Here is a 15,101-nt window from a genome sequence, read left to right on the forward strand (position 1 = left end):
AAAAATCTTAGCAAACTAGGAATGTAACTATTTTACCTTAATAAATAGCATCCATAAAAATCGTATGTTTAACAACATATTAAAGGCTGAAATAATTAAAGTTTTCCCTGAAAAGAACAGAAACAAGGCAAGGATGTTCATCTCACCCATCTTATTCAACATTGTACTAAAATTCCTAGCCCATGAATAGGAGAAGAAAAAGAAATGAAATAAAAGGCATGTGGATTAGAAAGGGAGAAAGAAACCCTTCTCTATTCATAAGGAACAAAACTGTCTTACAGAAAATCAAATACATTTTGAAAAAAAAACGGTAAAAGTAATTAGGGATTTATCAAGAATATAGTGTAAAATGTCAATATATCAAAAACTCAATTGTATTTCTATATAGTATCAATGAACAAATTGAAATGGAAACATAAAAGTGCTATTACAATAATACCCAAAACTATCAAAACTATGAATCATTTAAGTTTATGTCTAGTAACATATATGTAGGACCTATATACTGAAAACTATAAAACACCAATAAAATAAGTTAGAGAACGATACTCATGTTAATGTATTAAGAGACTCAACATTTTTAGTATGTGATTTCTCTCCAGACAGATCTACAGTTTTAATTTAATATTCATCTAAATCTCAGAAGATTTTTGCTGATATTGGCAAGCTGACTCTAAAACATTTGTAGAAATGCAAAGGATCTTGAAAAGCCCAGATAATTTTTAAGAACAACAAAATTGGAGGTCTCAAGCCTTAAAACTATCCAAATTTACACCTTAGCATAAAGGCATAAAGTTTCAGTAATCAAGCCAGTCTGACATTAGTGAAAGAATAGACACATAGTAAATCAATGATTGAAAGGAAGAATACTCCACAATGGACACACAGGTATACAGTTAATTGACTTTCAACATAGGTGGAAGTTAATTCCATGGACAATGGATAATATTTGCAACAAATGGTGCTAGAACAATTATGAATACAAAATATGCCACAAATAACACTTGATATGTGCCCCACACAGTCTTTACATAAGTTAACTCAAATTGAATTACAGACCTAAAGGCAAACATCAAACTACAAAAATTACAAGAAAACATAGAAGAAACTACTTATGACCTCAAATTAGACAAATAATAATGCTTAGATATTATACCAAAAACATGATCAATAAAAAGGAAAATTGATAAAATTGGCTTTTAAAGAATTAAACACTTCTTCTCTGCCAAAGACATTGTGAAGAGAATGAAAAGGCTATCTGTAGAATGAAAGAAAATATTTGCGAAGCTTACATCGGATACTGAACTAATGTCCAGAATAACAAAAAAAAACACTCTTAAAATTCAAGTTAGACAGTGGTCATTCTGTGCTTTTAAAATACTGTTGAATGTACAGAGGTGCCTTGGGAGTATCGGCTGCGATTGAGGGGAAGGCTCTGTAGACAGAGATCCAGCCTCCCCCGCAACCAGTCATATCTGTTCTGCAGTGGTTCTATAGCTTAATGGGAGTGGGGTAATCAGTCACCTCTGAAGATGGCCCAGGAGCAGTCAAAAGTTCCATGAAACCCTTAGAAAGACGCAGGTTGGAGACAGACACCTCATCTTTCAAAAAGTCAAGCAGCCAGTTTTCCCTCTGGATTTGGGACAGTTGTTGAGTTAATGCAAGTACTGGACTTGAGCTTGGCCATCATATTCCAACACACACACACACACACACACACACACACACACGCACACACACACACCCTTCAAACAGTAGTCACAGCAGTGCAGTGAGACTCTCACATTATGAGAAGCATTTGAAAACGGAACCTGCTATTAAGGAAATAACAGACCTTCATCTTTATCTCCTACTAATTCCAGGACACAGACATTTTTCCTGGAATTGTGGTTGAATTTCCTACACTATTTAGATTACCTTTACATCCTCTTCCTTCTTCCTCTCCTCTCGCTTTTCTTCCTCCTTCCCTTTTTCCTCCCCTTCTTTCTCTCTTCTTTTGTTCAGTATAAATATATATGATGCTCAGAGTAAACCTGTATATGCTTTTCAGCACAAATGTTATACGATGTTCAGTGTTGACGTGCATATGATGTTCAGGGTAAATGTGAATATAGTATATACACATTTTCTTGTAAGACTTTCTTGTAAGACTTCATTTGAAGAAAGAGTTCTGCAGGTCACTGTTATAGTGTACCATAAATGAGGAAAATTGAATCACTTGAAGCTAGGTGTCTTCTTTGTGTACTGAAGCAAATAAACGAGATAGGACTAGGAGCCAGGCTTCTTCAACTTCAGTCCAGTGCTCTTTTTCTTTGACACAAGTTCTTTCTATTTTGAGGAACTCATAAATTAACAACCAGAGAAAATACTCTTACAGGGAAATCAGAGGTTCAGAATGCAGAGGTGACCTCTCTTTCCCATGTTCTCCCAAAACACACTTCCTTTAAATGGGCAAAGCTTGGCTATACCTCTCTCAGTGCTCTCTCTCTCTCTCTCTCTCTCTCTCTCTCTCTCTCTCTCTCTCTCTCTCTCTCCTCCTGGAAGACAATCGTTATTGTCAACATAAATTCTGTACTGAGCAATATCTGGGCAGGTCTGGAGACTGGAGTTCAGGCACACTCTCCCTCTCCACCCCTCCTTCCTTCTTGTTGCTGTATCTGAGCAGCCAGGCTGGGCAGCCAGTGTTTCCTGAAGGCCCCCCCACACTGAGGCTGTCATGACTCAGGGGATGGGAAGAGGTACAGTGTTTACTAAAGATATGATTTTCATGGAAGTGGCCTTGGGAAAGCAACATTTTTTTGAAAACAAGCTCTATCCTTTAGTTTGACGACAGAAACAGGGAGCTAACCTGTGTCACCACTCGACTGCAAGTGTCAGCTGTCCCAAAACACACAGACATGTATGTGTACACACATACACACACACTCTTCCCTACTCCAAAGGAAATAGATCTATGGCTGAAATAACATACTAGACTCATCAAAGGGTACTAGTAGTTCCTAGATTGTAAGCATCATGCAGCACTTTTTTGAATTCAAAAGACTTATCAAAAATAGATCAGGAGCAGATAAAATTAATATTTATGAACTCAATTATATAGAAATGGACCTTTAGCAAGCATGCCAGCTGCTAACATTTATAAGGTCTCTTTTCTCTGGCTCCTGGAATATAACTTTAAAAATACATAAAAGTAATTCCAGCTTAATTGGATTGTCCTTCTTCGCTGTGCTTTGGCAGAGTTCCTACAGTTGGTTTAGCTTAAAAGTCAGAGAGGAGGAGGAAGAGCCCGCAGTGTGGCTTTAGCAGGATTCAAAGGCCAGTGTCAAAAAAAGTTATGTTCTACTTCTTCCCTTGCTGGATTTTTCAAAATCTACTGATGAATGGCTTTTTTTTGGGGGGGGATACCTGTCTCTCTTCATTGTCATCACCCATCAATGTCAAAGTCAGTCATCAGTCTACAAGTCGTGTCTGTGATAAGAAGTTTCCCATAATGAAATGTATACTTTCATATACTTTTTCCCATAATGGAAAGTGTTGCTTATAGGTGTTCACTGTGTATGCTCTCCATTCACCCCTTCCATAAGCACTGTACTCCCTTCTCAAATCTGGAAAAGATTAAAGGTTGAGACAAGTTGACTAATGGTTTTGCACATTATAGACAAGCTCGTTTCAGGCTAATGAAATTAAAACAAATTCAATAATGATACTTTCTGTGCAGAGCTCCTTGTAGTTTCTAATGTCCTTTCTCTTACTCTGTTTTCTATTGTGTTACCAAAGATTGTATGAGGTTATCACTGTTATCCCCAAATTCTAAAATGCAGGTGGTCAAATCATTAATCCATGCCATGTACTAGTTAGAAGGAGCATAACCACATTCCAAGATACACCCGAAAACTCAACGGATGGCAACACTCCATAACGTAGCACAAGGGCATGTGTGGTTCTTGCATGTTAGTATATATGTGTGTTCAGAAACAGGGAAGAGAGCTGTGCATTGTGACTCCAACACGAAATGTTGTGTAAGTCCCTCATTTAATAGAGCAGAGTCTATTTTCCACAAAACTATGAACTACATAGCTCACCCCGAAGGAGAAACCCATGAAGTAGGATTTAGTTACATTCTTCTGCAGTTTGTTGATAATTATTCTTGTTAGAATGCAGCAATGTGGAAATGCATTTCATGCTGTTTCATGCTGGGTTTTAAATTGCCTCTTTAACATGTTCGTGTTTGTGTCTTGAAGAACCACATTCACATCACAGGCCTAAGACCACTACCTTCAGAAAGCCTTGTGTGCAAGGTAAACCTTTGGCTATCATCTGGAAACTAGGATTTTAAGAGGGTTCCCTAACTGATATGAGGGGTTTTCTGTGCCTAAATGTCTGCACAGTGTTGTTTATGCTGAAAACCTGCTTTCCTTCTGGGAGTCTGGAATTTTGGTACATTCGAGGCAGATAATGTGACCAGAATCCGATGCAACCAGTGAGCTCATTCTGAGTCTCTAAGGGGCTTCCCTGGGCAGAACCATTACATGCATATTTCAGCACTTTTGTTTCTAGGAAACAACGTTTCTATGTGACCCTCTTGGGAGAAGGAGCATAGGAAGCCTTCACGTGGTTGCCTACAGACTGCATCTTGTTTCCTTACGATCTCACTGTGCGTCCTTCCTGCATCTCTGTAATATTTCTTAGCTGGGAGAACCTCTCTATATTGGGTCTCATGCATGCTTCCAGTGAATCTCTGAACATAGGGGTAGTCTTAGGGGCCCCTGACATTGTTCTACAGAGCAATTGGCTCATTCCACGAGATGGTGCTGGTTGACTTACGACTTGACAGCAGCAGTGGCTTCATTTGGGCTCAGGAAGTTACCTGGCAGGTGACGAACCTGGGGAGTGAGCTGGTTTTCTAGCATTTTCATCAGGCAGACGACCTGCGGGCACTGTCCTTTTTAAAATGGTAAGAGGTGTTTGCTTTAAAAAGCAGATGTTACAATATTTTTTCTTTCATTTTCACAACAATTTTTTTTCATTTTTTACTATTAAAAAGAACATTACATTTTTATACTTTGCCCTTTCCCATGTGCCTAATGCAAGTTGTTTAAACAGGAAAAATACACTTCGGTAATGCTCAATTTACTGATTGCATCGTGAGAGCTCCCTGGAAACTATTAAGTTCTTCTATTTAAATCCTTCTTTCTTTGTAGGGGTTACTGAACTGGTTCCCCTAGACCCCTTGTTTTCTATGTCCTCAATTTGCCTGTACATCAAGACTGAATTCTCTAGTTAGTAAAGATGGGTTCATCGGAATATATCGTGGCATATGGCAGATGCAGCAACTTCCTAAACCTAGCAAACTGCTTCTGGGCAATCAGCTTGTCTCTGAGAATCTCCTGACCTCTTGAGGACTGGAAATGCTGCAAATGCAAATACAGTTAAATAGCTTCATTGGGCACCCACCAGCAGAGGGCGAAAGGGCCCCAGAGTCCATATAACCACGTGTGTTTCTGCTTCATGGGCCTGAAAATGACCAGATTTCTTCCCTTGAGCTTGGCTGAAGCTTCATTCACGACCAGGCTTAGGAGCTACATCTGAGAACAGAGTGATGGATCAGGCCCCAGCATCTAAAATGTAGGTGCTGGTCAGTCACAGGAATGATAAACCCATGGGATGTCTCGCGCTTAAATTCCTTTCGTCACACCTAGAAAATGTTCAGATTTCCTCTGTCTTGGTTTGTCTTCCAAAGCTGAAACGAAAGAATGGGGTACAAACCTAAATTACCCTAATGGGATCATTAAGAGTATGTGTTACTCATTCATAGGATGTTAATGGTAACTTCCCCCAATTCAAATCAATCTGGAAATACAAATATGACTTTCTTTGGAAATAGCTTCTTTGCTAATGTAATTAGTTCAGGGTCTTGAGATGAAATTATCCTGGCTTTAGGGTGATTCCTAAATTCAATGACTGGCACCCTAATAAGAAGAGGAGAGAACATATAGAGACATACAGAAAAGGCCAGGTGTGGTGGCTCATGCTTGTAATCCCAGCACTTTGGGAGGCTGAGGCGGGCGGATCACCTGAGGTCAGGAGTTCTAGACCAGCCTGACCAAAATGGAGAAACGATGTCTCTACTAAAAATACAAAATTAGCTGGGCGTGATAGCACATGCCTGTAATCCCAGCTACTTGGGAGGCTGAGGTAGGAGAATCTCTTGAACCCGGGAGGCGGAGGTTGTGGTGAGCCAAGACTGCACCATTGCACTACAGCCTGGGCAACAAGAGCGAAACTCTGTCAAAAAAAAAAAAAAAAAGACACACAGAAAAAAGAAGTCCAAGTGACAATGGAGGCAGAGATGGGAGTGACGATTCTAGGAGCCGGGAAACACCTGGAGCCCCAGCAGCTGGACAAGGCAAGGGAGGACCTTTCCTTAGAGGTTTCAGAGGGGGCCCCAAGGGTGGAGTCACAAAAGTGAGATTTACTTAGATTTCTATTTTCCCTTTAATTTGCTCAATTGGGATAATATTTTCTTGCCTGTGGATGAAAATAGGCAGATCCATGACTTTTTATGACAAAACACAGCCTCAATTTAAAAATGATTCACTAATCCCAATTCTGAGCTACAATCAAAGGACAGCATTCTTCTCTTCTCCCAGCTGAAACTCTTTTGGTAGAAGTAGGCACGGTAAGTCTTTCTTTTTGCCCCTCATCATTGGCCTCAAAGTTTTCTCTCCTGGCTTGGAGACTGAGGGTTCTGAGTTTGCAGAGCAGACACAGAGGAAGGGGAAGAGATGTTGGGAGGGACAGGAAAGATGAGGTCACAAACACAGGTGTCAGCTGGCATCTGTGTGCTCCCTGGCCTGGGAGGCACTGGGTGGGGTACTGTCTTTTTTATTTTTATTTTATTTTATTTTATTTTATTTTATTTTATTTTATTTTATTTATTTATTTATTTATTTAGACAGAGTTTCACTCTTTGTTGCCCAGGCTAGATTGCAGTGGTGCGATCTCAGCTCACTGAAACCTCCGCCTCCCAGGTTCAAGCGATTCTCCTGTCTCAGCTTCCTGAGTGGCTGGAATTACAGGCACCTGCCACTACGTCCAGCTGATTTTTGTATTTTTAGAAGAGATGGGGTTTCACTATGTTGGCCAGGCTGGTCTCAAACTCCTGACCTCAGTGATCTGCCTGCCTCAGCCTCCCAAAGTGCTGGGATTACAGGCGTGAGCCACCGAGCCTGGCATTTTTTTTTTTATTATTTTTTAAGGGATGCTTTCATGGGTTCCTTGGCAAACCTCAATTCCCCTTCCATGACTGATGATCTTCCACTCATGTGGCCCCAAAACTGTGTGACCACATCGTCTTCCCTGTTTAGCTGCTGGGCACCCCAAAGTCTACTTCCAATATCGTCTCTGTTTGAGGTCACCTTTCTGGGAATTTTTTCACGTGACATCAGCCAGGCTCCACTGACTTATTGTTTGATGTTCTAGCCTCTCCATGTGCAGCAGCAACTATCATCTCTCAGCTCTCAGAGGAGCTGAACTCCTCACCCGTCAGATCCCCCCAGAGTGAGTCAGGCCCTGGTTCAGTGTGTCTCCCACTGCAGGGAACACATATTGGGGTTTCCAGGTAGTCCTCCTGAAATTCTTTTTTCCTGAGCTGAGGAGAGAGAAGACACACTTCCCTTTCCCTCCACCCTGGGGCCTGGAATGCACAGGGCACCTGGAATTCTCTGTAGTCCATCCCCTTCCCAAGCTTTCCTATTAATTTCTAACTCATATCATTTTGTACCCTCAACCAGAGTAGGGGCTCTCCTTGTGGTCCAGCACATCGTTTGGACTTTAGCAGGTGTTGTATATTGGTCCCTTGGCCACAAATGCAGTTTTGTCCTCTGTTTACACAGGTAAAATTGCCAGGAGAATGTCCAGTATATGGGGGACAGAGTTAGAGGGAGCTATTATTCAGTTAGCGTTGAGTATCTGGGGACTTGACCCAGGAGAAACTCCTTGTGGAAGAGACCTCTGTCACAAACACTCAACCCTCCTGTGATAGTCATGATATGTTTTTGCAATGCTATCCCATGATCTAATTCACAGAGGTGGGCTCTCATTCAGAGTTCTTAGTGTTCTGGGGGCTTATTGGTTTGTGATTCCTAAGAATTGAGTTGCATGGAGGAGGAGGAGCACAGAGGAGGAAAGGGGAAGTTCCTGCAATCCTCAGGAGATGGAGCGGCCCAGGCACTGTGTTCCAGGATGGGAGGACACAGCGGCATTTGCAGTGAGGTCAGGATGCCAATCAGTGTGATCATCTGTGTGTCTACCTGTTGTAGCCAGCATTTTGCACAGTCAGGAGCACTTCTGGCCCTCACTCCTGAATTTCCTTAAATGGCATGTGACTAGCCGAGCTCTGGGAGCAGGGGCTGGCAGGCGTAAGGACTGAGCCTGCCCTGGGGGAGCTCCTGGCTGGTTTTGCGCCCAAATGAAGTCCTCATTGGCCACCTTACATCCGTGCCCCCACATCTCCCCCTTTCTCGTGGTGATGTCAAGTCTCTTGGGTGGAGGGAGGACGACGCATCACTGTGTGTTTTCAGAGTCTCCCTGTTGGGTTAATTGGTCCTACAAAGGTGTCACGCTACAGCATTGAAGTGCAGAAAGATTCATTACAGTGCCTGGAGGTTGCTAGATTGGGTGGTGGCCTGTGCTATTGCTGACCTCTTGGTTCACTATGAGAATTGCCTCTGGAATGATGCCAAAAGACTAAGGCTGCTTATTAAACTTCAGAATAGCCAGGCTTGGTAAGATTTTTGAAACATCATTTGTGTTGGTTGTCTCCAAATTCCATAAACATGCTGAAGAATAGTCTTTGAAGGTAGTTCCTGCTCCCTGTTTTAGAGGAAGATCGAAATGGTCTCTTTAAGTGGCTCCTACATACATTTTCATTATGGAGCAAGACTTGGAGAGATCCCTGAAAATTAATTCTAGTCTAGTTCTAAATAAAGTAATGGCTTAAAATGCTTGCCCACCAAATGAAAACTAAGGAAAACAATACCCAAGGCAACAGTAACAACACTAGCTGATTATTGTATTAAGTTCTAACGTCTAACCAGGAGAAAAAAAAACACTTTTGCATTTAGAGCATTTTTTTTTTAAGACGGAATCTCGCTGTGTCACTCATTGCAACCTCCACCTCCCAGGTTCAAACTATTCTCCTGCCTCAGCCTCCTGAGTAGCTGGGATTACAGTCACACACACCTGGCTAATTTTTTTAAAATACATTTTTGGTAGAGGCAAGGTTTCACTGTGTTGGCCAGGCTGATCTCAAACTCTTGACCTCAAATGATCTGCCCGTCTTGGCCGATTCATTTTTAAATGCAGGAAAGTAGCTGCATGGGATCAAACACCTCAGAGGCCAAACAAGGAGCAGGGAGACACCCCAGGATTTAGCTGCTGTCACCCCAACCAAAAAGAAGGAAGCGGGTAATTGGCTCCTTCCAGTATGACACGGGTGTGACGTAGACACGTCACCCTCATCCGTTTATGAAAAGCATGGATAGAGCATATGAGGGAGGGACCAGGACAAAACATTTTGAGTGTGGCTTGGAATTTGCGAGTAAGTTAGTAAATGGCTCATTTTCTTTGTCCTTTTTTCCTACAGGATTCCTTCTTGCTGGTGGGTGGGGGCAGGGGCAGAACTAAACTCCTCTACACAGGGGTCAGCTCCACGTGATACAATCTGGTTTTATTCAATGTATTGGCATATCATTTCCAAGCCTACCAACTTGATGTGGGGCTTGGGGCTGCTGGGCTATTGGATGAGTGCTATCATTTTATGATTGAATCTCCTGTTATTGCAAGGGAGGCTTTTTGTCTTCTAAGCTGATTAGGATAGCCCAGAAAGAGCACTAGGCCACTTCCATCTCACGAAAGCCCCACGCCTCTCCCCACGTACCTCGTTCCCACATCCGATCCCTGACACTGACCCTGTTGGTTCCCATTATGGCCTCTATCCACACAGCCTCTCTCCAGTGCAAAACTTTAGTGAAGAATCTTTTCTTCTGAGAACGATGGAGATGGTGTGATGATGGCCCCTGAAGTTAGTCACAGCTTTGCACAAGCTTGATTTAATACTAGACATTGCTGAAAATGTGAAAGGAGGTGTGTTAGTGTTATTTTCCTGGTGTAAAAAGAAGTCACAAATTTGGTATTCTAAAACAACGCATATTTATTATCTTCTGGCTTTGGTGGTTGTAAGTCTGACATACTACTGGCCAGGTGTGGTAGCTCAGGCCTGTAATCTCAGCACTTTGAGAGACTGAGACAGGCGGATCACTTGAGGTCAGGAGTTCGAGACCAGCCTGGCCAACATGGTAAAACCTTGTCTTTACTAAAAATACAAAAAAATTAGCCAGGCATGGTGGTGTGCGCCTATAATCCCAGCTACTTGGGAAGCTGAGGCAGGAGAATTGCTTGAGCCCGGGAGACAGAGGTTGCAGTGAGCCGGTACTGTGCCATTGCACTCCAGCCTAGGCAATAAGAGCAAAATTTGGTCTCAAAAAAAAAAAAAAGAAGTCTGACACACTTATTAAAACAAAAAACATTACTTTCTGTGAGCTATTCTTTGTGTACAATGAGATGTTTTTGAAGCATTTTTCTTATCGGTGTAAATAGCACTCACATTTTTTTAACCACTGAGATGTTTTTGAGGCATTTTTCTTATCGGTGTAAATAGCACTCACATTTTTTTAACCACTGCGTAGTATTTTATATTCACATGTATCAACTAATATTTGAATTTCTTTAGTTGATGGTCATTTAGGTTGTTTCCATCCTGAATTCATCCATTGTTTGCTGCTACAGTACAGTCTTGTTAAGCTCTATCTGGTAGGAATGGGACATTTGCCAATCGGTGACACTTAGAAGTACACGGCTTACAAAGATTCTAAGGCAGAGTCTGGGTTCAATGGGAAGAAGCTCTAGGATTGATAAGCTATGTGGATCTCTGCTACAGGGAAAAGCGAATGGTGCTATTGACAACAAGCACCTGCTCTGCATCCTGTTTCTGCATTGTGTGGTGGGATGGGATCAGTGCAGCCCCCCGCCATTCTCCCTGTGGCCAGTGAGGCTGACATTTAGAATCATGACTCCAAAGGTTGTCTGACCTGCAGCCCGTGGTCAGCAGCCTCAACAAATCTTTACCTAGTACTGTGACTGTATTCCATTTATTAAGACAATAAGTAGGTTCTTATGAATTAAAAATTACTTGAAAAAAAGCTGAATAGCAGTAATAATTAGAGAAATGCAAATCAAAACCACAATGGGACACTATACACACAAGTCAGAATGGCTATTACTAAAGTCAAAAAAATAACACATGCTGGTGAGGTTGTGGAGAAAAGGAATGTTCATACACTGTTGGTGGGAGTGTAAATTAGTTAAACCGTTATGGAGAGCAGTGTGGTGATTCCTCAAAGAACTAAAAACGGAACTACCGTTTGACCCAGCAATCCTACTGCTAGATATATACCCAAGGGAATATAAGTCATTCTACCATAAAGATGCATGCACCTGTATGTTAATTGCAGCACTATTCACAATAGCAAAGAGGTGGAATCAACCTAAATGCCCATCAATGGTAGACTGGATAAAGAAAATGTGGTATATATACATGATGGAATATGGTACAGCCATCAAAAAGAATGAGATCATGGGGATCATGTCCTCTGAAGGAACACGGATGGAGCCGGAGGCTGTTATCCTTAGCAAACTGATACAGGAACAGAAGACCAAATACTGCATGCCCTCACTTATAAGTGGGATCTAAATAATGAGAAGTCATGGACACAAAGAAGGGAACAACACACACTGGTGCCTAATTGAGGATGGAGGGCGGGAGGAGGGAGAGGTTTAGGAAAGAAAAACAAACAACAACAACTATCGCATACTATGCTTGGTACCAGCATGATGAAGTTATCTGTGTACCAAACCCTCAAGTCATGAGTTTACCTGTATAACAAACCTACACTTGGGCCCCTGAACCTCAGATACAAGTTAAAATATTTTTAAAACTATTTTTGTTTGGCCTCTACTCCGTAAGACCATTTAGACACTGGCTGTGTTTTTCTTTCCCCCAAAGCAAGTGTGTTTGTGATTTGTTCGAAGGCACATAAAACCACACGGTCTGCCTGCCCTCGGCGGTGGATTTCCTGAATAAACTTCAGGCAGATGGCACTTTTATGTTCTCTTATAAACAAACCAGAATGACCAAAGTGTTCTGCAAGCGGTTCTTACCTCGGTTATATACAAATGGTTTCACAGCTGAAAGGAGTAATTGTAAAATGTCAAGGGGAATATATGCCCACTGGTACACCCTGCAAATGACCAGAAATAACCATCTTTGCCGGAGCAGGTTAAACACTGTGTACTTTCTAAATGTTCCTTTCTGCAGTTGCTCAGGAGTGGAAAGCTACACTTCTAATGTCCCCAGTGGAATTCAACTACCTACAGCAAAGTATTTACTACAGTTTATGAGACCTAATGATCATATTCATGGTGTTAATCTATTATGCCAATGTTCACCTAATAGGGTTTAGATGTTCTGTCATTTCTTAGCACATATTGGAATATAAAAACACAGAAAGATAGTAGCTGGAGAATGAACTGGAGGCAGCTAAGTGGACATGAAGACAGGCAAAAACCATGAAGATGGCAAGTCATATTGACCTGCCTGCATTCAGACAGACCTTTGCTGACATATATTTTCTCATGCTAAACAAGTTCAGGAAAGAAATTGGTGGTTGTTAGATGATGTCAGCCAGTAATAGATTCTGAGTATTTCTGTGTCAGGAATGGGACATGACACATTTTTAAGGACTGTAATCAATATCATTAATATTTATAATATGTTTTAAACAAAACCGCTACTGGTGGCATAGCCATTAAAGACTTGTTTTTGTAAATGACATTTTACTGGAGCATAGCCATGGCTGTACATTTGTGTGTTGTCTGTGGAGACTTGTGCCCTATAACAGCAGAGTTGAGTAGCTGAGACAGAGTCTGTAGGGTCACAAGTCTAAAATATTTAATCTCTGGCCTTTGCAGAAATAGTTCGCTCATTCCTGATAGAGTGTGTTCAACTACCTAGATTCAATTCTTACCCCTCATTTGCTAGCTCTGTGACCTTAGGAAAGCTACATCTATTTTGGAGTCTTGGTTTCCAAAACAGGTCAAATGATTCCTACCACAACACCTCATTCATGCACATTGAGACTTAAACATGGAAATACAAGCATAGCTAGCTTTTAGCATAATGTAGTAAGAATTGGGTAAAAGTTAGAAATTACTTTCATCATTAATTCTGTGTGCTTATAAAAGAGGGGTAAATGTCAAAATATTTCTCAGCAAAGGTGTCAGAGCTCCTCCCAGTTAGAATGGGCACCAACTGGAAGCTCATGGCACAGTTATGACCATGGCTCTGGCTGAGCCTCTGCCTTGCTGGGAGAGAGGGAGGGACGATTGCAGCACACTCTCATGCATAGTGTAATCTACAAACAGTTCACACACGGTGTAGTCTACGCACAGTTCACGCACAGTGTAGTCTACACACAGTTCACTCACAGTGTAGTCTACGCACAGTTCATGCATAGTGTAGTCTATGCATAGTTTTAATTTTACAAATTGTTAAGATGACAGTTTCAGTTGCAATTGTGCGTGCTTTATCCTTGTATAAATATTGTTGTTTTTGTTAGTTTATTTGTTTTTGTTTTTGAGATGGAGTCTCACTCTGTCGCCAAAGCTAGAGTGCAGTGATACCATCTAGGCTCACTGCAACCTCTGCCTCCCAGGTTCAGGCGATTCTCCTGTCTCAGCCTCCTGAGTACCTGGGATTACAGGCACAGGCCACATGCCTGGCTAATTTTTTTTTGTATTTTTAGTAGAGATAGGGTTTCCGTTGGCCAGGCTGATCTTGAACTCCCGAGCTCAAGTGATCTGCCTGCCTTGGCCTCCCGAAGTGCTAGGATTACAGGCATGAGCCCCTGTGCCAAGTCCGTATATTTATATTTTTATTGATCTTATTATTTTGCTGGATAATTTGCTGACAGATATATGATATAACCCACATTTTAGTTGTTATCATTCCTGTTTTCTAATATTGTTCATGGGAACTTCTGGCTCATCCTTCTCTCAAATTACCTGCTGGGCCACACTCTTTACCTTTACTCTTTTTTACCCAAGTTCCCCAGGACCACAGTTTCCTCATGAGTATGAAGAAATGAGGGCTCTTTCCTGGAGCTGTATCCAGTATCTAGTATCATGAACAATACATAGGACCTTAGCGAATGTATGGGCCTCCTTCAGCCAACAATTCACTTCTAGCCTTGTGGATAGATGGAGGCATATGTTGTGTGTGTGTGTGTGTGTGTGTGTGTTTTGTTTATTTTTTGCTTTTTGAGACAAAGTCTCATTCTGGAGTGCAGTGGTGTGATCCCAACTCAATGCAACCTCCACCTCCCAGATTCAAACAATTCTCGTGCCTCAGCCTCCTGAGTAGCTGGGATTACAGGCACTCACCACCACTCTCGGCTAATTTTTGTATTTTTGAAGAAACAGGGTTTCGCTATGTTGGCCAGGCTGGTATCGAGCTCCTGACCTCAATTGATCTTGCTCACCTTGGCCTCTCAAAGTGCTTGGCTTACAGGCGTGAGCCACCATGCCCGGCAGGCATATGTATTTTGAATTGGCAGTATTAGCATTTTAATTAACATAATGCTTATTATTTTTAAAAAGTCCAAACCGTGTACAAAGATGACAGCAAAAATCCCCCAAATCATAGGACCCTAAAACCCCTATTAGTAGATTAGTGGACTATTATTTCAGTCATTTAAGAACATTTCTATACAAGGAGGTTGATGTGAATCCACAGAAAGGACATAATATTCTACTAAAAAGTATACTCTGCAAAATATTCTTGATCAGAATGTACTAAATTTATGTGTGTTTATGTATAGCAGAGATAAGGGATCCAACATGAAACTGCTGGACTTAAATGTTAGCTAACTTGAGAGGTATTAGTATTTAAGGCATTCTGTTAAGATTGGGGGGGAAAGGCTTAA

At 41.5% G+C, this 15,101-nt stretch overlaps 1 annotated feature.

The window, feature by feature from the left end:
• Positions 13,406-13,569: a silencer, noted in NCBI's record as "fragment chr12:127277009-127277172 (GRCh37/hg19 assembly coordinates)". NCBI's record gives its function as "represses an EF-1alpha promoter that drives an FKBP-Casp9 reporter gene in an ReSE screen in K562 erythroleukemia cells {active_cell/tissue: K562}" and the evidence as "EXISTENCE:reporter gene assay evidence [ECO:0000049][PMID:32094911]".

Source organism: Homo sapiens, chromosome 12, assembly GCF_000001405.40.
Source record: "Homo sapiens chromosome 12, GRCh38.p14 Primary Assembly".
Classification (NCBI taxonomy): domain Eukaryota; kingdom Metazoa; phylum Chordata; class Mammalia; order Primates; family Hominidae; genus Homo; species Homo sapiens.